Source organism: Homo sapiens, chromosome 16 (genome assembly GCF_000001405.40).
Source record: "Homo sapiens chromosome 16, GRCh38.p14 Primary Assembly".
In the NCBI taxonomy this organism is placed as follows: domain Eukaryota; kingdom Metazoa; phylum Chordata; class Mammalia; order Primates; family Hominidae; genus Homo; species Homo sapiens.
The window spans coordinates 4,369,800-4,389,289 of NC_000016.10; the positions used below are offsets into that span (position 1 = coordinate 4,369,800).

Genomic DNA, 19,490 nt, shown 5'->3' on the forward strand with positions numbered 1-19,490 from the left:
CCTATCACCCAGGCTGGAGAGTTAGTTAGGATCCTTTGACCCCCCTCCACCCCCACAGCCCCTAGCTCCCCCGCTGTGTGCAGACTGCTGGTAACCAGGTTCTAAAGGCGGGTGGCACCTTGAAACCATACAAGGCAATGTTGGATAAACTGAGAGGGGTCTCCTAAAAGCTTCCCTTGAGCCTCTGGGTAAGTGGGGACCTGTGTAAGGCCAGGGCACAGGATTGGGGCAGGGGGTGAACACCAGGCAGATGGGGTCTCTCCGTCTACAAGAACCTGCCACAGAGGTGAGAAGCTTCAAGGACATCAGGAGGTCCTGTTCCTTGAGGAAAGCCAGGCTGGAGGCTCTTGGAGCCCTCTTTACCCCTGACCCTGGGCATCTGTGGATGCTTCTGAGGGCTTCAGAGGACACAGGGCCAAGGGAAGAGGCAGGGAAACAGTCCGACAAGAGGCTGCACAGCACTGATTGGAAACTCAGATGGTTCTGGGGCCGGGCAGGAAACTCAAGTGAGTGGACAGCTTGGCAGGAGGCAGCAGGGAGTGGTGGGGACTGGGGTGACCCATGAGCCCACATTTTGGCAGAGGGAGCAACCGCCACTCAGCCCCAGCTGAGAGTTCCTGTTCAATGCAAGCTGGGAAGCCCCATTTTAATATGAAACCACCTGATTTTTCAATGTTAGCAGTGCCTTCAAAGTTGTAAAAACTCCCATAAAGCCTGCACTAAATGCACCCAAAGGCCAGCCCCAACCCAGGAACAGAGGTCCGCAAGCCATGCCCTAATCCATGTAGACCGAGAAACGTATGGGTTGTGGAGCCCTGCCAGCCCTGGAAAGGGGCCCTGTGGGGAGAGGGCCCTGTGGACGGGAGGTCCAGAAGGTGACTGTCCCAGCCAGGCCCTGCTTAGCCCTTGACGGCTAGACACAGAGGCCATCCTGCCTTCTGGAGATAACTGAGTCCTCCAGAGACTAGGAAACCCTCCAGCTGGTGTGGCCCAGCCTCCCAGGGATAAGCCTTCAGGCCCCCCAAAGACTAGAGCTAGCCCAGCCAAGGGCCTTGGCTACAGGCCGGGCTGGAGGGGGTGTGGGTGTCCCAAGGCTCTCCGGAAGTCAGGAGCTGAGCTGGGCCCCCAAAGGCTCTGAGGCATGACTGACCACAAACGCGGAGGGGGAGGAGGGCAGAGTGTTTTCCTGGAATCCTCCAAGGCAGGGGATTTTTCTGGACTAGTCCGGCCCCTGGCACCCGCCCCTCCTGCCCAATCAAGGGCCACTGTCAACTGCAGCCCAGGCCCCACCCACCGACGGTGACCACCCCTATGCCTCCACAGCTCAGGCTTGAAGCTGCCAGTAACTGTGGGGCCGTGGGCAGACCACCACTGCCCTCCCTGACACAGCCCCTTCATCTCATAATATGGTGGGGAAGAGAGTCCAGGGCTGCTCACAACTCTTAAGGCTGTCGTGGCTAAGAGGACCCTGAGCTCAGATTTGGCATTGGAGTTTATACTTAGGAGGCTCTTGAAAGGGCTTTGTGTGGGCTGCCAGGAGTTTTTTGAAATTGGGATTAGCTACCAACAATAACACATTGAGAGATTTCACCTAAAAATCTGGATTTCCAGTTTCTCTTCAAAAATCCAAAGCTCTAGCTGGCCCGGGCTGGTCATGAGGACTCAGCCCTTACCAGCCCCACTCCCGCCATCCTGCCTCTCCAGGGCCGCAGAGGCCCTGGGGTGGACTTCTGGCATTTGTCACCTGCCTGGTGCCTCATAGGCATCTGGGCTGTGACGCTTAGGATTCCTAAATAGTCTCTCGCTTTTTACACAAAAAGCAGAAACCTGCCCAGTGTCATCCGGCAAACCCACGACGGGCAAGGTCTCCCCGCGCAGGTCAGGTGGCCGCAGGGTGAGGGCCAGGGCAACCCGGCCCACGAGCCCCTCGGTGGGGAAGGGGCGTGTCTCCACGCGGCTCCGCCCCGGCCAATGGGGAGAGGCCCCGCCCCTGCCGCGGCGGGCCCGCCCCCCGGGACTCTTAAGGCGCGACCTGCCTCCAGCGAGCCGACTCCGGAGCCCGAGCCCGGGGCGGGTGGACGCGGACTCGAACGCAGTTGCTTCGGGACCCAGGACCCCCTCGGGCCCGACCCGCCAGGAAAGACTGAGGCCGCGGCCTGCCCCGCCCGGCTCCCTGCGCCGCCGCCGCCTCCCGGTGAGTTTCTGTGGGGCTGGGGGGCTGCGGGCGGGGAAGGGGGCGCCACGGCCAGGCTGTGCACACGCGCGGGGACCGCCGCCGCGCGCACACACGCACTCTCGGGCGGGACCGCGGCCCCAGCCCCACACGGTCACCTGGGCCGCCCGGCGGGCAGGCCCTGTACGCTCCCTCCCCCGCCGTCCTGGGGCGCCGACAGCCCCGCGGCCGGCCAGGGTGCGCGCCTGAGTGTGCGGTGAGCCCGCGAGGCTGCAAGCAGACAAAATAAACACCCCGTCCCATGCTTCCTCCTCCCACGGCTGGGCCTCCGGCATGACCAGTTTTATGAATCAAACCCCTTTGAGGGGGATAGCCAAGCCACAGGCTTGGGTCACTTTTCCCTCCTGGGGTCCGGCAGTAGGTGCTGCTGTGCAGAAGGGCTGCCCGGGGTCCTCTGGACCCTTGTCACTCAAAGCACAGCTGGGGGCTACAGATATGCAGCCCTAGGGAGGGGCGGGGAGTGGCTGGTGGGCGTCCGATGCCCATCCCTCCAGGTGGGGGATGGACCTGTACTGGCCAGGGCCCTTAGAGCTTCGGGTATCAGGCAGGGTGCCGGGTCTCTGCCTCTGCCAGGGAAGGGGCTTTGCTTGGGCTGCAAACCCAGTGGCCTGGAGCCAGCCTAGTCCTTTGTGTCCCTGGGCTGGCAGTGCTGGGGCCTGAGGACTGCTGAGGTCCCCTGTGGTCACTGGCAGGCCAGCCGATTGGTGCCAACCATTCTGCCTCTCCCCCATTCGTTAACGATTGCCACACCAGGGTCACTGACCGCCTCCCCTGCTGTGGCCCAGGGGTGGAGTGTGCAGGGTGGAAGGAAGAGGTCCTGGGGGTCTAGGTGTCCCCATGCCTGCCTTTTGCACCAAGGACAGGTGAGGCTCTGGAGAGAGGCAGCGGGACCTAGAGCCCCCTTCCCCAGGCTGAGAGCCTCCAGGGCTGGGGATTGGATAAAATCTCCAAGGTCCCTTCACACTAGACTGTACTTTGGGTGTTGAGGGCATAGAGGGGTGGCCGGGCTGGGACCTTCCAAGCAGGGTCCATTAGGGCCAGTCCAGGGGGCAGCAAAGTCCAGGATGGGCCCAGCTATTGACAAAAACCCAACAGAGCTGGGGCAGGCGGGTGGGGGATGGGGAGCAGTCCCCTGAGTTTACTCTCTTCTCCCAGGGGAGTTGGCCTGGAGCTTCTGTAAACAGAGTGTCAGAGGCAGGAAGAGGCTCTGGTGATGAGCAGCCCAGCTGGATCCCCTCCAGACCATTATCTAGCCTCCCCTGGGCCTGGGGAGGGAGGATGCGCACACACATGCCAGCCTGGGGGCCGGGCACTGCCTGTCCCCACCCCGCCCCTGTCTCCTGCACGTTGGAACAGCTGTCCTGCTACCTGTGGGTCCGGAGGGTCAGATGGGGATGGGGCTGGGGGCTGGGGTCCCAGGGCATTTGTCCAGATGGCACCTCTCTCTCCATATTCTGGGAATGGGAGAATGGGATTCAGCATAAGGAGCCTCTCAGACACTGCCCAGACCTGTGCTTACCCGAGGAAGGCCCCTCTGGCACGCAGCCCAGGGGCCAGGGAGATGGCAAGGGAGATGCCCCGGGCAGGAGATGGGTCCGCGGCTCCTAGCTCCCATTACTGTCACCCCCACTGACAGCCCCGGGGGAGCTGGGACAAGTCCCAAGTACAGAAAATTAAGTCCTTGCCTGGGCTTATAAGTGGGTCCCAACACAACACTGGGCAGCCTCTGGGAACAAGAAAGCAGGGCCCTGCTGAGCCCAGGAGGGAGCTCCCACCTCAGCAGGCCAGACAGCCAGTCCTGCCAGTGAGCAGAGGTGTGTAGAGGGGAGGCTGCCCACAGGGATGGCTATCCCTGACCACTGGCCAGCCCTGAGCTCATGGGAGGGCAGCAAGGCCACCTAACTCTGTTAGTGACCTCTCCTGGACCCCCCATCAGCTGCCCTTAGAGTCCCCTCCCTGGGCTGGGGAGCCCAAGGCTCTGTGCTGCCAAGAAAACCAGCTCCCCTCACTGCTGTGGAATTTGCGTGAGTTCTTGGAGAAGGGGGAGGGTGCACGTGTGTGTGTGTGTGTGTGTCTGCAGGAGCACTGCCCAGTGGGCGTGTGTCTGGCGTGGGCGTGTCTGTGTGCGCGTGACTGGAGCAGGGCTGTGTATTTGGGGGTGGGTGGGGGTGTTTGGGGGAGCCTGCTTGCACCAGGAGGGGCAGGGCCTCAGCCTCCTTCCTTTTATCGGTTTCCACATTCCAGAGTCAGCCGGATCGCTTTCCCTCCGCGCTGGGCCGCCGGCCTCCCCCGCTTTTCCTCATTCCAGCCTCCCTGGGTGTGAGGAGGCTGGAGGAGGCTCCCTCAGGCCACCTCGGTTTTGGGCAGGGGGTGGGGGCAGGCGAGGGGCCAGTTATTCTTCAGGGTTCGGGACGGCCCCCACCAGACTCTTCGTGGGGAATGCAATAAGGTTCTGACATTCCTCAGGGGCTGCCTGAGAGATTTAATTAAGGAGGGAGGAGGGAGCCGGCCTACACCGGGAAGGGGCTGGGGCGGCCGCTGGGGCCCCTGCTGGCCCTGGGCCCCGAGCCCGGCTGGGCATTGAGAGCAGTGCGGGGGCAGGGTTGTGGTTCAGTGGCCAGGTCCTGTTCTGCCTCCCTGAATCCATCCCGCCTGCCCATTGATCAGCTCACAGACCCCAGGGGCGCCATTTCTGCCACGGGTTGGCCAAGAACCCTGGGTGATTGTGGGGGGTTCGGCATGGGGAGCTTGAGAAGGGCAAGACCCCTTCCAGGGCCACTTCCTTCTCAGACCCCCAGGCCCAGGAAGCTTAGGGCTGGCGGCCTTCCTTGGTGACTAAGGTGTTCTTCTGGCAAGTTCAGGGTTAATTGCAGGTTAGGGCCTTACTAGATGGGTGCTTGCCCCTGGGTGGGGACAGGGCAGTGAGGAGGCCCCGTGTGAGGGCCCAGCCCTGGTGGCATCACACCTGCCGCGTGCCGAAAGTGGCATCTGGACTGGCCCATTTCTAGTTGGGCTGCAGCCACTGCACAGCTCCCAGGGCCACAGGTGTCCTCCCTGACAGGTTGCACCTCTTGTGACTACGATGGCACGTCCCACCGCCCCAGGGGCTCACTTGAGCTGGGGCCTGGCCTTAGTCACTGGTCTCCCTGCCCTGGGCTAACAGGTCTGGCAGCTGCCAAGTCACCCACGGTGCTACTGAAGGCACCCACCTGGGGCCGGGCCAGCCTCCTGGGTGGAGGGAGGAGGGAAGACCCTGTGCCTGCCCCTCTCCCAGCCCTGCCAGCTGGTCCACACCTGCTCCAGGATACAGAGCCTCCTCCCTGCACAGGAAGACGAGCTGACATCCTGACTGTCCCCTTTGCAACCCTCTGTCCTGGTGTTCTGAACCCTGGCTGTGCGGAGGACTCGCTCAAGGAGCTTCTCCAAAATACAGCTCTGCCTGGGTCTCACTCCTAGACATTCTTTTTGTTTTTGAGATGGAGTATTGCTCTGTCACCCAGGCTGGAGTGCAGTGGCGCAATATTGGCTCACTGCAAGCTCCGCCTCCCAGGTTCACACCATTCTCCTGCCTCAGCCTCCCAAGTAGCTGGGACTACAGGCGCCTGCCACCAGGCCTGGCTAATTTTTTTGTATTTTTAGTAGAGACGGGGTTTCACCATGTTAGCCAGGATGGTCTCGATCTCCTGACCTCGTGATCGTCCTACCTCGGCCTCCCAAAGTACTGGGATTACAGGCGTGAGCCACCATGCCCGGCAGAATTTCTTGTTTAATTGGCCTGGGGGTGGGGCCCCAGCATGGAGGTTTTTTTTAGAAAGCTTCCTGGATGATTCTGATGTGCAGCCCGGCGGGCAAAGCCCTGGCGTCACAGGTGGGAGACGGAAGCCCAGAGAGGGGAGCTTGCTTGGATGAGGTCACAAAGCGTGTGAGTGCCTGACTGAGCTCCTGGCTGTGGCATTATCTGTGGAATGAAGAGCGCCAGCTTGGGGTGGTGGATGGAGTAAGAAAGAGGCTGACACCCATGGGGACCCCCGCTCAATCACCAGCCAGGGGTCCCCGCGCCTATAGGGAGGGTCTACCTGCCGCAGTCCCTGAGGAACTCGAGGCCCAGCCCTCTCTGCCCCTTCTGTGAGGGCCCACGACCCCTGACCTCTCTGCCCTGCCCTTGGGACTGCTGTGTCCCAAGGAAGGGGAGACGGGGCGGACCCAGCCGGGCCCTGAGCCTCCTCGGACACGTCAGCGAAACTGGAGCCAGCCGTCCTGGCCGCCGGCACAGTCCCGCCTGCCTGGAGGGGTTGGCAGACTCCCGGGGCTGGGCTGCTGCCAGGCCTGACCGGCCACACAGAGCCTTGGCGGGCCAGCATGAGGAGCGGGGGCCCGGAGTCTCAGGGTCAGACCTGCAGCGCCTGTCCTGCACCCACGCTGAAGCATACGGCACAGGAGGGGCGTACTGGCCTCAGACTGTCTATCTGTCTGTCCAAGCCTGTCCCCTACTCAGCAGGCACACCGCCTGCCCCAGAATCAGTGAGATGTTCTCGCCAGGGGCTGATGTGGTCACCAGATGCCTGGGTCCCACCCCAGCCATGCTATCCCCTGGCCCGTCCCCGCCTGACCCTGGGCGTGTGTGGTGTACCCCAGAGGTGGGTGGGCGTCCCCCTGGGAGTTGAGATGACGAGTGCCTTGTCCTCCTTACTCATAGGGCCCCTCCCTGAAGTCCTGTGCTGAAGGGGCCGCCAAGGGACAGCTCACCCACCACGTGCCCCCTTCCAGAACCAGAGATACCCCACCCCCGCTCCCCAGCCCCCAGGGTGAAGGGCAGCCTTGGTGTGGGGATGTCTGATCTGTGTAAAGCTGGCCTGAAACCCTCTCCCTTAGTAGTACCCACGCCCAGGGGGCAGGCAGAGTTCTGCGTTTATGAGTGACGCCCTCCGCAGTGAATGTTTACCGACCACTTGGCAAGTGCTCCGAGCACAGACCAAGTCACCCCAGACACAGGCACCACGAGCACCACGAGCAGCGCCCACTGCACAATGGGGGCTGAGGTAGGGGTCGTGGCCGGGCTGTGGACCCTGTCGCCCTATGCCAGTTACTGTGCCAGGGAGGGAGCAAGGCCGGCAGCAGCACTCAGCAAGGCTGAGGAACTTGGGTGGAGGACGGAGGCCCCAGACCCTTGCGTCATCTTCCCACCCCCCGACGTCCCCGAATCCCAGGAATCCCAGGGCTGCCTCCGGAACACCTCCTGCACCAGGCAGAGGAAAAGGTCTCACCTCCCTGCCTGACTAGTGATCAAATATCAAAGCCCAGGTCCTGGGATCACCGGGTGGGAGGGTGGGTGGGCGGCGGCAACCACCGTGTGACCTGTAGACAGCCCCCAGCCCCACGCACACACCAAGCACACGCCCAGACCCCAGGCGGGCGGGACAGCTCCCAGAACTTGTTAAAAGAACTTCCCCATTTGAAAACAAACAGAACAACAGAAAACTACAACTCCAGAGGGTGAGGGGGCAGGGCTGCTTGCACCAACTCCAGAGGTGAGAAACTGAGGCCCACAGTTGAGAAAGGAACTCTGGCCTCTGTCCCCTGCCACCGTCCCCTCCACAGTCAGCCTTCCCTCGCTGGGTTCCTCTCGGGGCTGGCTGATGGGTTCTCAGTGCCAGGAGTCCCTGGCGGTGCCCTCAGAGCTGCCAGCCTGTAGCTTACAAACTCTGGGGTTTTCCAAAGCTCCAGCGCTGCCTCCTCCCTCCTCCCTTTGATGTGGGGGTAGAATTGGGGCTCAGGCAAAAGAGCTCACCGCACATTTTACGGGGCTGGGAAGCAGGCTGGCTGCCGCCTGCTGGATGGTCAGCCCAGGACCCCAGCCCACAGTCCTGACCTAGACCCCTGTCCTGCTAACAGGAACGCACATTCCACAGCTCACTACCTGTCAGCCGGAAAGCCACCCTGTGGCCAGATGGACCCACAGCATCCCCTCTCCCTTCACAACCTTGCTGATTAAAGACCCAACAGATTACGGAGCCCAGAGCTATGGCTGGTCCCCCTCCCCAGTGCAGGGTGAAGAGCACCCCCCAGCACGTGCCCCTAAGAGCTGGCCTGCACACCTGGCCTTGCAGGGCTGAGGACTCCACATGCATCCCCCACTGCAGCCCTGAAGTGTCCCAGATACTCAGATGAAGAAACCGAGGTGTGAGAGCAAAGTCACTGTCTGCGGCCTCACAGCTTGGACACCTCTGAGCACAGGGCCGCCTGCCTGGAGTGAGCGCTCTTAACTGTGACCTTAAACGAGGCCCAAGGGGAGCTGCGGCCACAGTGGTGGCCAGGCTGGCCAGGCTGGCCACGTGGAGGATCCCCTCCCACTCTGGAACCTGGCTGCATCCTTCCTGACCCTGGTCTGGCCCTGCTGGGAGGGCTAATTCAGGCAGAGGTGGCCTCACCCCCCATATGGACATGGGGTGGGTGGGGGTCACTCACAGCCCACATCTGGAGGCCAGGCCGCACCCGCCGTCCTCTGAGTCAGTGAGGGTGGAGCGGGTCCCATGGGGGAAGAGAAGGCTAGGGGTGTGGCCCCAGGGCCTTAGGTCATCAGACACGAGCCCCCCTGGGGTGGGCTGGCCGGGCCAGGGACGCGTGCCTGGGGTTTGGGGTGCTAACTTCTTCCAGTGCTCAGTGCCAGGCCCTCCTGGGCTGTTCACTCAGCAGACCTGAGCTAAGTGGGCCTGGAGACACCTATGGCAAAGGCAGGCTGGGTCTCACCTTAGGGAGGTGAGGGGGCACACGACAGCAAGGGGGACACCGCTAGGTTGGGGAGGCTTAGCCTGCTGGCCTCTGAAGGGTGCTTGTTGTCGCTAACTGGCTAGGGGCTCAGGGTCGGTAGCTCCTAGGGGAGACGACTCTGGCAGTGCGATACTACACGTGGGCAGGGCCTGCGTGGGCCCAACCCCGGGGACAAGGGCTTCTTCCTTCACCTCGAGCTACCCGCAGACCCCAGTGGTCACCTCACCAGTGACTTGTCTAATCTGTCCTGGGACCACCTGCTCCTCCTCACATTCCAGGAACCCACGTACCTGGGGGAGAGGGAGCCCTATGGACGGGTCCCCCCAGCCTGGGGCGGAGTGCAGGCTGGGTCGGGGTCGTGTTCCCTGGACTACCTGCACAGCCTGTGTGGGGGAAGGGGAAGCCCGGACTCCAGCACAAAGGGCTCTTGTGTGAGCTGCAGGCGCCACTGGGCAGGATGCTTCCTGGGGATGGGCTGGCACCCCGTATGAGGCTCAGGGACTTCTAGGGGTGCCAAAGTGGGGAGGGCTCTTCCTGGGGACGGCCCCAGCGGTCTCCCCAGGAGTCTAGGTGATGGGGGCCAGCCACAGACCTGCCTGACTTGGGCAGTGCAGCTAAGATCTGGAGCCTGGAGCGGCTGGTGGGAGCCCCCGCCCCCAGGGCCATCTGGAGGGCACGCACCCTTCACAGGTGGCTGCTGCACACCTGGGCTCTAGCTCGGACTTGCTGGCACCGCAATGGCAGCGAGTCCCTGCACCTCCATGAGCCCTGCTTTCTTCTGTCTGCCCTGACGTGGCTGCTGGGGGGCTACCTGAGGTGACGGTAAACACTTAGTGTTCCTTCGTCCTTCCCACTTCGCTGGCACATGGGAAGGACTTGCACCATCACTGCCAAGGGGATGGCTGCTGCTCATCTTTCTTGGTGCCCAGCTCAGGGCAGACCCCAAGAAACAGTAGACGAAGCCGGGCACGGTGGCTCATGCCTGTAATCCCAGCACTTTTGGAGGCTGAGGCGGGCAGATCACCTGAGGTCAGGAGTTCCAGACCAACCTGACCAACATGGTGAAACCCTGTCTCTACTAAAAAAAAAAAAAAAAAAAATACAAAAATTAGCCATGCATGGTGGCTGGCACCTGTAGTCCCAGCTACATGGGAGGCTGAGGCAGGAGAATTGCTTGAACCTGGGAGGCAGAGGTTGCAGTGAGCCGAGATCTCGCCACTGCACTCCAGCTTGGGTGACAGAGCAAGACTCCGTCTCAAAAAAAAAAAAAAAAAAGTAGATGAATGACTCTGCAGAGTTTTCCCAGGCCTGGCACTGCCCCTGGGGCTGCCATGTAGCCAGTGTCCCCACCTGAGCCCTGTGGCCCCCCAGCTCCAGCTCTGTCACCAGCCTCAGCTCCCCGCCTCCCTCCCTCACAGGGGACACCTGCCAATGCCTGTGGCCTCTGCCCCTCCTCCAGGAACCTTCCCGCCGGCCACTTCCTGGCGGCCCGCAGCCCCCAGCCTAAGCAGGTCTGACTGCCCAAGTGGAAAAACATGGATCCCATAGTTTCCATGTGAAGTCTTCCCGCTGCATTCCCTCCTCCAAGGAGGGCGGGACACGGAGCGTGGCAGCAGGAGCCGGCGGCCAAGGCAGCCAGCTTCTCTGCTTACACACCCACCCAGCTGCCTGCCTGCCCCCTCTTCCAGACCCTGTAGGGAGGAGCTGCCGCTCCAAGTCCCACCATTCTCTCCTTCCTGGTCCATCTCTGAGGCAGGGGATGGGGGAACCTACCTAGGCAGAGGCAGGAGGGCCTGGGGTTCAGGAGGAAGCAGTGCATGGTCACTGCACGTTCAGTGGATGTCATGCCCCATGATGACCTCTGTGTGCATTGACAAGGTCACACAGTGAGGGAGTGACGGGGCTGGGACAGAACCTGGGTCGGGGCACTGGCGACCTGACTCATAACCATTGGGTTCTCTTGCATTTGGGGGCAGAAGCAGTGAATTCCCTCTGGCTCTTCCTGGCGTGTCTGCCTTCTAGGCCCCTGACTCACAGTCTTCTGTCTCTGCCTCCTCTCTGCTCCCAGGGACAGAAGATGTGCTCCAGGGTCCCTCTGCTGCTGCCGCTGCTCCTGCTACTGGCCCTGGGGCCTGGGGTGCAGGGCTGCCCATCCGGCTGCCAGTGCAGCCAGCCACAGACAGTCTTCTGCACTGCCCGCCAGGGGACCACGGTGCCCCGAGACGTGCCACCCGACACGGTGGGGCTGTACGTCTTTGAGAACGGCATCACCATGCTCGACGCAGGCAGCTTTGCCGGCCTGCCGGGCCTGCAGCTCCTGGACCTGTCACAGAACCAGATCGCCAGCCTGCCCAGCGGGGTCTTCCAGCCACTCGCCAACCTCAGCAACCTGGACCTGACAGCCAACAGGCTGCATGAAATCACCAATGAGACCTTCCGTGGCCTGCGGCGCCTCGAGCGCCTCTACCTGGGCAAGAACCGCATCCGCCACATCCAGCCTGGTGCCTTCGACACGCTCGACCGCCTCCTGGAGCTCAAGCTGCAGGACAACGAGCTGCGGGCACTGCCCCCGCTGCGCCTGCCCCGCCTGCTGCTGCTGGACCTCAGCCACAACAGCCTCCTGGCCCTGGAGCCCGGCATCCTGGACACTGCCAACGTGGAGGCGCTGCGGCTGGCTGGTCTGGGGCTGCAGCAGCTGGACGAGGGGCTCTTCAGCCGCTTGCGCAACCTCCACGACCTGGATGTGTCCGACAACCAGCTGGAGCGAGTGCCACCTGTGATCCGAGGCCTCCGGGGCCTGACGCGCCTGCGGCTGGCCGGCAACACCCGCATTGCCCAGCTGCGGCCCGAGGACCTGGCCGGCCTGGCTGCCCTGCAGGAGCTGGATGTGAGCAACCTAAGCCTGCAGGCCCTGCCTGGCGACCTCTCGGGCCTCTTCCCCCGCCTGCGGCTGCTGGCAGCTGCCCGCAACCCCTTCAACTGCGTGTGCCCCCTGAGCTGGTTTGGCCCCTGGGTGCGCGAGAGCCACGTCACACTGGCCAGCCCTGAGGAGACGCGCTGCCACTTCCCGCCCAAGAACGCTGGCCGGCTGCTCCTGGAGCTTGACTACGCCGACTTTGGCTGCCCAGCCACCACCACCACAGCCACAGTGCCCACCACGAGGCCCGTGGTGCGGGAGCCCACAGCCTTGTCTTCTAGCTTGGCTCCTACCTGGCTTAGCCCCACAGAGCCGGCCACTGAGGCCCCCAGCCCGCCCTCCACTGCCCCACCGACTGTAGGGCCTGTCCCCCAGCCCCAGGACTGCCCACCGTCCACCTGCCTCAATGGGGGCACATGCCACCTGGGGACACGGCACCACCTGGCGTGCTTGTGCCCCGAAGGCTTCACGGGCCTGTACTGTGAGAGCCAGATGGGGCAGGGGACACGGCCCAGCCCTACACCAGTCACGCCGAGGCCACCACGGTCCCTGACCCTGGGCATCGAGCCGGTGAGCCCCACCTCCCTGCGCGTGGGGCTGCAGCGCTACCTCCAGGGGAGCTCCGTGCAGCTCAGGAGCCTCCGTCTCACCTATCGCAACCTATCGGGCCCTGATAAGCGGCTGGTGACGCTGCGACTGCCTGCCTCGCTCGCTGAGTACACGGTCACCCAGCTGCGGCCCAACGCCACTTACTCCGTCTGTGTCATGCCTTTGGGGCCCGGGCGGGTGCCGGAGGGCGAGGAGGCCTGCGGGGAGGCCCATACACCCCCAGCCGTCCACTCCAACCACGCCCCAGTCACCCAGGCCCGCGAGGGCAACCTGCCGCTCCTCATTGCGCCCGCCCTGGCCGCGGTGCTCCTGGCCGCGCTGGCTGCGGTGGGGGCAGCCTACTGTGTGCGGCGGGGGCGGGCCATGGCAGCAGCGGCTCAGGACAAAGGGCAGGTGGGGCCAGGGGCTGGGCCCCTGGAACTGGAGGGAGTGAAGGTCCCCTTGGAGCCAGGCCCGAAGGCAACAGAGGGCGGTGGAGAGGCCCTGCCCAGCGGGTCTGAGTGTGAGGTGCCACTCATGGGCTTCCCAGGGCCTGGCCTCCAGTCACCCCTCCACGCAAAGCCCTACATCTAAGCCAGAGAGAGACAGGGCAGCTGGGGCCGGGCTCTCAGCCAGTGAGATGGCCAGCCCCCTCCTGCTGCCACACCACGTAAGTTCTCAGTCCCAACCTCGGGGATGTGTGCAGACAGGGCTGTGTGACCACAGCTGGGCCCTGTTCCCTCTGGACCTCGGTCTCCTCATCTGTGAGATGCTGTGGCCCAGCTGACGAGCCCTAACGTCCCCAGAACCGAGTGCCTATGAGGACAGTGTCCGCCCTGCCCTCCGCAACGTGCAGTCCCTGGGCACGGCGGGCCCTGCCATGTGCTGGTAACGCATGCCTGGGCCCTGCTGGGCTCTCCCACTCCAGGCGGACCCTGGGGGCCAGTGAAGGAAGCTCCCGGAAAGAGCAGAGGGAGAGCGGGTAGGCGGCTGTGTGACTCTAGTCTTGGCCCCAGGAAGCGAAGGAACAAAAGAAACTGGAAAGGAAGATGCTTTAGGAACATGTTTTGCTTTTTTAAAATATATATATATTTATAAGAGATCCTTTCCCATTTATTCTGGGAAGATGTTTTTCAAACTCAGAGACAAGGACTTTGGTTTTTGTAAGACAAACGATGATATGAAGGCCTTTTGTAAGAAAAAATAAAAGATGAAGTGTGTTTCTTGGGCTCAGCCCCAGGGTAGAAGGGCTGGGTGGAGGGAGATGAAGAAGGAGTGGCCCTCGCTCTGGGGAGCCAGGGCCCCTCAGCAGCCCCTGGGCTTGGGCAGCCCTCCCAGGTGTCCTGACCTGGGTGCCATCCACCCTAGGCTTGAATGAGGTGAGGCTGGGCCCAGGTGGGAGCAGGGCTGCCTCTGGCCTCGGACAAGAACGGGTCAGGGAGCCTCACCTTCCCCAGGCCCTGTCTTCTGCCAGCAGGGGCTCTGGCCCATGTGCGGCTGGGAGAGGCTTGTGGCACATGTGGGGCCAGGTGAGTCCCTTGTGGGTTGGTCTGATGGGCAGTTCACTGCCTGCTTTCCTCCAGGGACAGGGCCCTGGGCTCTCTCATTCCAGGCCTCATGGATGGTCCCGGGAGCAAGTGGCCTCCGGGACCTTCTCTACAGCGTCCCGGGAGAGCCAAGCGGTTTGCATGGCCCCAGCCCCATGCCACTCCACTGCCCACCATGGGCGCAGCAGGAAATCCTGCTCCCTGCCTCCTGCCCCTGGCTACAGCGAGGGCTCTGGTGGGAGGGGAAGTGTGAATCATCAAAGGCAGGGACCCCATGGGTGGGGAGAAAGGGGCCGAGCCCCAGTGAGCAGGACAAGCTGGGGGACAGGAACAAAGGGCCCAGGTTGGCTTGCAGACGGTGCCAGGATTGGTGGCCTTGGGATGCCCCCTCAGCCCCTGCATTAGGGATGTGCCCAGGCTTTCTGGAAACCCTAGAAGTGGGAGCATTTTCCAGGAAGGCTGCATGCTGAGGTGGGGGCAGTGATGCTGAGTGCAGCTGTGGCCTGGACTGGGTGCAGGGGGCTTGGGGACAGTGATGGACACACAGCACCTTTTCCTGTTACCCTCAGTGGGATGGAGGGGAGGGGACCCACTGGGCTGCCGCTGCAGGGGCACCCAGAACATGCTGGAGTGAGCCTCCTGCAGACCCCATGCCACTGTCCCACAGGTCATGGCCCCGGCCCCCAGCACTCAGGCTCACCCCTGGTGGGACAGAGTCAGCCCAGCCAGACCCAGGGAGCAGGCCCCGTGGCGCGGGTGTTGATGTCAGTGCCGAGTCAGGCCCAGCCACGCGAGGCTCTGGATTCAATTAGCGGCTGCTGAGGGCTCTGGCACGAGGAGGGAGGAGGCGGGCCGTGGGTCATGGCGGGCAGTGGGTGGTGGCAGTGGGCCTGGGTGGGGCCCCTTCTTCCTGAGGCAGCGGCGGCAGCCCAGGTGGATTTCCTGTAGGCCTGGGTCCCATTAGGGGAGTGGCTGCGGCCAGGCCTGCCTCCCCCGGCCCGTGGCTGCATCGTCAAAGGGGCCTTTGTGGGCCTGAGGCTGCTGCTGAACACGGCGGCTGCTGAAGAAATGTTTTCACTGCAAAGCAAACCTGGCCGAGTGGGATGGTGGCAGGGGGCAGTGGCGGGGGGGTGGCAGGGCCCAAAAAAAGGAAGCCTTCCCTGGAACAGTGTCTGGAGTGTGCCATCAGATCAGGGCTTCGGGGAAGGGGAGAACCCAGCCAGGGGGCGACCAAGCTGAGATGCAGCCTCGACCCGGGACAAGCCCCCCGACTCTAGGCCAGGGACCAGGGGCAGACGTGGGGGTGTGCGAGCCCCCATCACCAGGTGCTGACTGCAGCAGGCCCTGGGCCATGTGGGTGACACATGCTCTTGTTTCATGCCCGGCGACCTCGTCTATTGAAAAGGAGTGGCCACAGGGAGGGAAGACAACATGCTCACAGTAAGTGGAGACAGGACCCCAGCACCTGCTCCCCAGCCACGGGTGGGGCTGCCGGCCACGCGGGAGGGCTTAGGGCCACTGTGAGCTACAGAAGCAATACACCCTACTTCTATGGGGGTAGGGGGTGATACAGTTCACCCAGCCCCCTCACAGGCATTCACACACTCATCCCCGCTCAATTCACACCCAGAAGCGTGGCACCCAAGACAGGTGTATCTCTGCATCTCCAAGACCAAAGCATGAGCTGTTCCTTCAGTGCAGGCTGCCAGTCCCTCTCGTTATCCCCCCACCTCCACCCTGCGCCAAGCATGGTACCAAGCACACAAAGTGCTGGGCAGCCCTCCGTGGAGGCTGCCTGAGCACAGACAGGACCTTGGTGTTCGAGGCTGGCCTGGCTCCCAGCCCCTGCTCCTCTCACTGTGGCTGGCTTCCCCTTAGATACTCCACAAATGTCAGGGGAAGGGCATAGGTGGGACCACAGCGGAGGCCCCTGGGTGAGGATGAGGAGGGGACGGGGTGTGTGCACGAACCCTGGCCTCCTCTAGCTCTCATAAGGGCACACACTGTTCTGCCCAAGCCAAGATGGAAAATCTGTAAAACAGAAGAACTCGAGGGTGGTGGAGTGGATGCAGTTGCCAACCTCCCCATTAGCCGTGCCCACAGATGACACTCCAGACTTTCCATGCTCAGCCTAGATTTGCTCAGAGGCCCCGGCACCCCAGGGAGTTAGTGGGGGGCTCCAGCTTCCAGGACGCCTGGGGGTGCAGGGGACCTGCCACCTCTCAGAACAGCTGGGGGGCTGGCACACATCCTTGGCATCCACCAGCTTCATGGGGGCTGGCAGAGCAGGGGCCAGGGCTCGGGGGCAGAGGGGAGAGGACCCTAGCCTGGCCACCCATCTGGGAGTGATTTGAGAAATTCCAGTCCTCACTGGTCCTTCGAGGCTATTCTTAACTGTGGTAATTACAGGGTCAGCCTTGGCCAGTGGCACCGTGAGGTCTGGGCATCATTAACTCCTCCAGAGGCCACACTGGGGCCGGGCAGGAGACGCTTTCAGGGGATGGGGACCCTGTCACTGGGGGCAGAGCCTGGAAGGCAGGAAGTGGTGGGTGGAAGTGACTGGTGCCAGGTCCCTTCACACAAATGCCTCCACTGGGGGCCCTGCAGGGAAGGGGCTGTCTGACCTAGAAAGGTCTAGAAGACAAGATGCCAGGCAGCTCCGGGCCTGGGATGGGGGACATGGGGCCAGATCCTAGACGTGGAGTCTGAAGGCCCGGGAGCTCCGACTCCTCAAGGCGGGGCGGGTCCCACTGACTCCTCCCTGAATCTCCAATGCCCAGAGCAGGCAGGAGGCTGAGGGCAGCCCTGACTCTGCCTCTTACCCTCCATATGGCTTCAGGGAAGGTGCCGAATCTTGCTCACCTTTGCCTCCCTCATCTGTAAAATGGGCCTTGCCAGCTTCTCAGCCCCTCCCTGGGTGTGACAGGGTGGGAAAGGGCGTCACTGTCACCCTGACCCCTACCCCTCCTCTGGGCGGCTCTCAGCCCGGGGAAGCCCTTGGCAGGAGCTCTCGCTGGTACTCAGGTGGGAGCTCTTCTGGGGACTCCCCGGAAGATCCCGCAGCCTTCCTTACCCCCAGACACATACCCTTGCTGCTCCCAGAGCCTGGACAGGTCACTGTTGCCTGTGACTCAGTTTCCTCAGTTATGCAATGGAAGAATGAATAAGCTTGCCAAGTACCACCCCTTTCCTGGCTCTGACATTCTCGGATCCCCCTGCCTGTGAAGATTCCAGCAAGGCCCTTATAAGTCACGGTTGAAGTTTCAGAAGGCGGATGGAGTCCCTGTCTCTCCACCCCGGCCCTGCCTGGCTACGTCTCTGAACACCCCCCCCAGCCTCAGTCTCCCCAGCTGTGTTGTGGGTGGTCTGAACAGATGAGTCACTCATAAATGCTTGCCCTGGGCCTCCTGGTGTCTGGCTCCTGAGCCGCAGTGGGCCAAGGCCATCTCGGCACACAGCTGACTGTGCCTGGCCAGGACCCCGCCAGGCACTGCCAAAAGCCCTCTCCACACACTTCTGGGGGCAGATGGAAGGATGAGGTGCACCTGGAGCCCCCCAGGCTGCCTGGGCACCAGCCCCACCTGGGGACATACCTCAGGATAGAACAGGACAGCCATGTGGCTGGTGTGGAGTAGGCCGCATAAACCTCAGTGGGCCGCATAAGCCAAGGCCCACCTCCACCTCCACCTCCACCTCCACCCCCACCCCCACCCTGCCAGGCTGTCCAACAATGCCCACGTCCACCCTCCTATCATAGCCTGGAGCCTCCCTGGGCCTCAGCCCTGCCAGAACATCCACAGAAAAATGAAGCGTATTCTTGCACTTCTGGATCACACCCTCTCCCTGAATGCCAAGCATACCTGTGTCAACCCCCAGCCATGAAACCTCTGGTGACCAAGGGCCCACTCTGCTACCAGGGGCCAGAGGGGCACCTGAGCACCTGCTGCTCGTGACATCTGGAAGCTCCGGGGGTACAGGGCCAGGTGTCTGTTGCAAGGCCTTGCAGCCCAGATCAGGTACCCCAGAACACCCCGGAGATCAGCCCGCCTCACTGACAGGCCGGATCAGGTGCCCTCACCTGCGGCGCCTTGGGTCATCAGCCCCCCAGCCCACCTGCGTGCCGCAGCTCCTACCCAAGCGAGGTGTCCAAGGTGAGGGAGGCCAGGGCGCTGGAGAAGAACCGCGTGTCCCACAGCTTCACTTCGCGCTCACGCATCTGCAGGGAGGGCGAGAGAGGGGCTCAGAGGGGCCTGTCCCTCAGCCCCACCCGGGGGGCTCCCAGGGAAACCAGCGCCTGAGGGTGCAGCCTGACACGGGGCACCTGCCCCAGAGCAGGGCTTGGAGTGGGGGTGGGAGTCACCCCAGGGAAAGAGAATCTGGGTTTTCATGTTCTGCCCCTTTAAGAACCCTTAGGTGACAAAGGATGAGGGGCGGTTCCCTCTGTGTTCTCGGGTCCCTGTAGGGCCACTATGGCTCCTGGGGTCAGGCTGAGCTATTACAAATGGAATCTGCCAGTTTTCAGCAGCCGTCAGTCCCCTGAGGCTCTGAGACCCGGCAGCACAGCCAGGCCGTATATGGACAGGCCTGGAACTGGCCCTCAGTCCCCCGCCTCCCATTGGTTTCGTCCCCGCCCAAAGGGCTGGACATGTCCCCACCTGGCCGTGCCCTGCTCCTCCAGGAGGAACCCCCTACCTGGTTGAATCCAGTAGACACAAGGTGCTCCCAGGTGCCCATCCATGCCAGCCGGCTATCCCTGCTGTTCTCATGGGCCTGCGTGCTCTGCAGGAGGCAAGAGGTGGACCTGAGCCCCCAGGGCCCTGCTGGTGGGCGGGGCCCCCTGGAATGGGCCTGAGCTGGGGAACTTCTGCTGCCCACCTGCCTGAAAGCCTCACAGAGGGTGGGAAGGGCTGGGTCCTTCTCCACGTCCCCACTGGGACCAAGGGTGGTCTCCGAAGCACCCCGGGGATCAGCCCCGCCTCCGCCCCAGTTGAGGGCAGCTCTGCACCCAGAGGCCAACCTGGCTGCTCCTCCCGAGTGTCCCTCCTACCAAGGAGAGGGCTGCCTCACTCCCCAGCTCCAGGCCCCTTCCCTGCTGCGCCAGGGGCTAAAGGCACTGGCACTTTCTTGCCCCTAAGAGCTGTGTGATCCTGGGGATGTCACACTCTGTCAATGCCTCATTTCTCTCGCTTGTGTAAGGGGCTCACGATGCGGTGCCACCCGCTTCCCAGGGCTGTCACCATGTGGAAGGGCAGGGCTTGTGGCAAAGCACCGTGTAAACTGGGGGATTTCGAGGATCACTGTGGCTGCCCCAGGCAAGAGGCAGGGCCTGGGACCCACCTCTGGGCAACGTCCAGAGAGCGCCAAGTAGTGCCTCTCCTGGCCCTCCCGAGGTGCTGGAGCTGCCAGCAGGAAGGCTCCCGGCCCCTGGGAGGAGAGG

At 62.9% G+C, this 19,490-nt stretch overlaps 3 protein-coding genes across 6 annotated transcripts in view, besides 6 other annotated features; 1 reads left to right on the forward strand and 2 right to left on the reverse strand.

Moving 5' to 3' along the window:
- CORO7-PAM16 (CORO7-PAM16 readthrough) overlaps positions 1-19,490 on the reverse strand; it is a 76,346-nt gene that overhangs the window by 29,549 nt on the left and 27,307 nt on the right. Inside the window, exons 8-9 of the mRNA NM_001201479.2 lie at positions 18,746-18,832; positions 18,187-18,269 (exon numbers count right to left, since the gene is read on the reverse strand). Of these exons, the coding sequence (NP_001188408.1) occupies positions 18,187-18,269; positions 18,746-18,832 (170 nt within the window). The remainder of the gene's footprint in view (positions 1-18,186; positions 18,270-18,745; positions 18,833-19,490) is intronic.
- The window catches only part of CORO7 (coronin 7), a 62,055-nt gene that overhangs the window by 15,258 nt on the left and 27,307 nt on the right, over positions 1-19,490 (reverse strand). For all 4 annotated transcript variants that reach the window (NM_001201473.2, NM_001201472.2, NM_024535.5 and 1 more), the window contains 2 exons: positions 18,746-18,832; positions 18,187-18,269 (listed from right to left, as the gene is read on the reverse strand). In NM_001201473.2, coding sequence (NP_001188402.1) covers positions 18,187-18,269; positions 18,746-18,832 — 170 coding nt within the window. The remainder of the gene's footprint in view (positions 1-18,186; positions 18,270-18,745; positions 18,833-19,490) is intronic.
- Positions 1,431-2,256: an enhancer, noted in NCBI's record as "H3K4me1 hESC enhancer chr16:4421231-4422056 (GRCh37/hg19 assembly coordinates)". NCBI's record gives its function as "activates a minimal SCP1, AML or CMV promoter by ChIP-STARR-seq in naive H9 embryonic stem cells {active_cell/tissue: H9 hESC(naive)}" and the evidence as "EXISTENCE:reporter gene assay evidence [ECO:0000049][PMID:30033119]".
- Positions 2,049-13,739, forward strand: VASN (vasorin). The gene is made up of 2 exons (NM_138440.3): positions 2,049-2,194; positions 11,070-13,739. Exon 2 carries the CDS (start codon positions 11,079-11,081, stop codon positions 13,098-13,100), a length of 2,022 nt encoding a protein of 673 aa, NP_612449.2. The 5' UTR covers positions 2,049-2,194; positions 11,070-11,078; the 3' UTR covers positions 13,101-13,739.
- Positions 4,864-5,643: an enhancer, noted in NCBI's record as "H3K27ac-H3K4me1 hESC enhancer chr16:4424664-4425443 (GRCh37/hg19 assembly coordinates)". NCBI's record gives its function as "activates a minimal SCP1, AML or CMV promoter by ChIP-STARR-seq in naive H9 embryonic stem cells {active_cell/tissue: H9 hESC(naive)}" and the evidence as "EXISTENCE:reporter gene assay evidence [ECO:0000049][PMID:30033119]".
- Positions 5,737-6,518: an enhancer, noted in NCBI's record as "H3K27ac-H3K4me1 hESC enhancer chr16:4425537-4426318 (GRCh37/hg19 assembly coordinates)". NCBI's record gives its function as "activates a minimal SCP1, AML or CMV promoter by ChIP-STARR-seq in primed H9 embryonic stem cells {active_cell/tissue: H9 hESC(primed)}" and the evidence as "EXISTENCE:reporter gene assay evidence [ECO:0000049][PMID:30033119]".
- Positions 6,519-7,298: an enhancer, noted in NCBI's record as "H3K27ac-H3K4me1 hESC enhancer chr16:4426319-4427098 (GRCh37/hg19 assembly coordinates)". NCBI's record gives its function as "activates a minimal SCP1, AML or CMV promoter by ChIP-STARR-seq in primed H9 embryonic stem cells {active_cell/tissue: H9 hESC(primed)}" and the evidence as "EXISTENCE:reporter gene assay evidence [ECO:0000049][PMID:30033119]".
- Positions 8,859-9,640: an enhancer, noted in NCBI's record as "H3K27ac-H3K4me1 hESC enhancer chr16:4428659-4429440 (GRCh37/hg19 assembly coordinates)". NCBI's record gives its function as "activates a minimal SCP1, AML or CMV promoter by ChIP-STARR-seq in naive H9 embryonic stem cells {active_cell/tissue: H9 hESC(naive)}" and the evidence as "EXISTENCE:reporter gene assay evidence [ECO:0000049][PMID:30033119]".
- Positions 13,628-14,469: an enhancer, noted in NCBI's record as "H3K27ac-H3K4me1 hESC enhancer chr16:4433428-4434269 (GRCh37/hg19 assembly coordinates)". NCBI's record gives its function as "activates a minimal SCP1, AML or CMV promoter by ChIP-STARR-seq in naive H9 embryonic stem cells {active_cell/tissue: H9 hESC(naive)}" and the evidence as "EXISTENCE:reporter gene assay evidence [ECO:0000049][PMID:30033119]".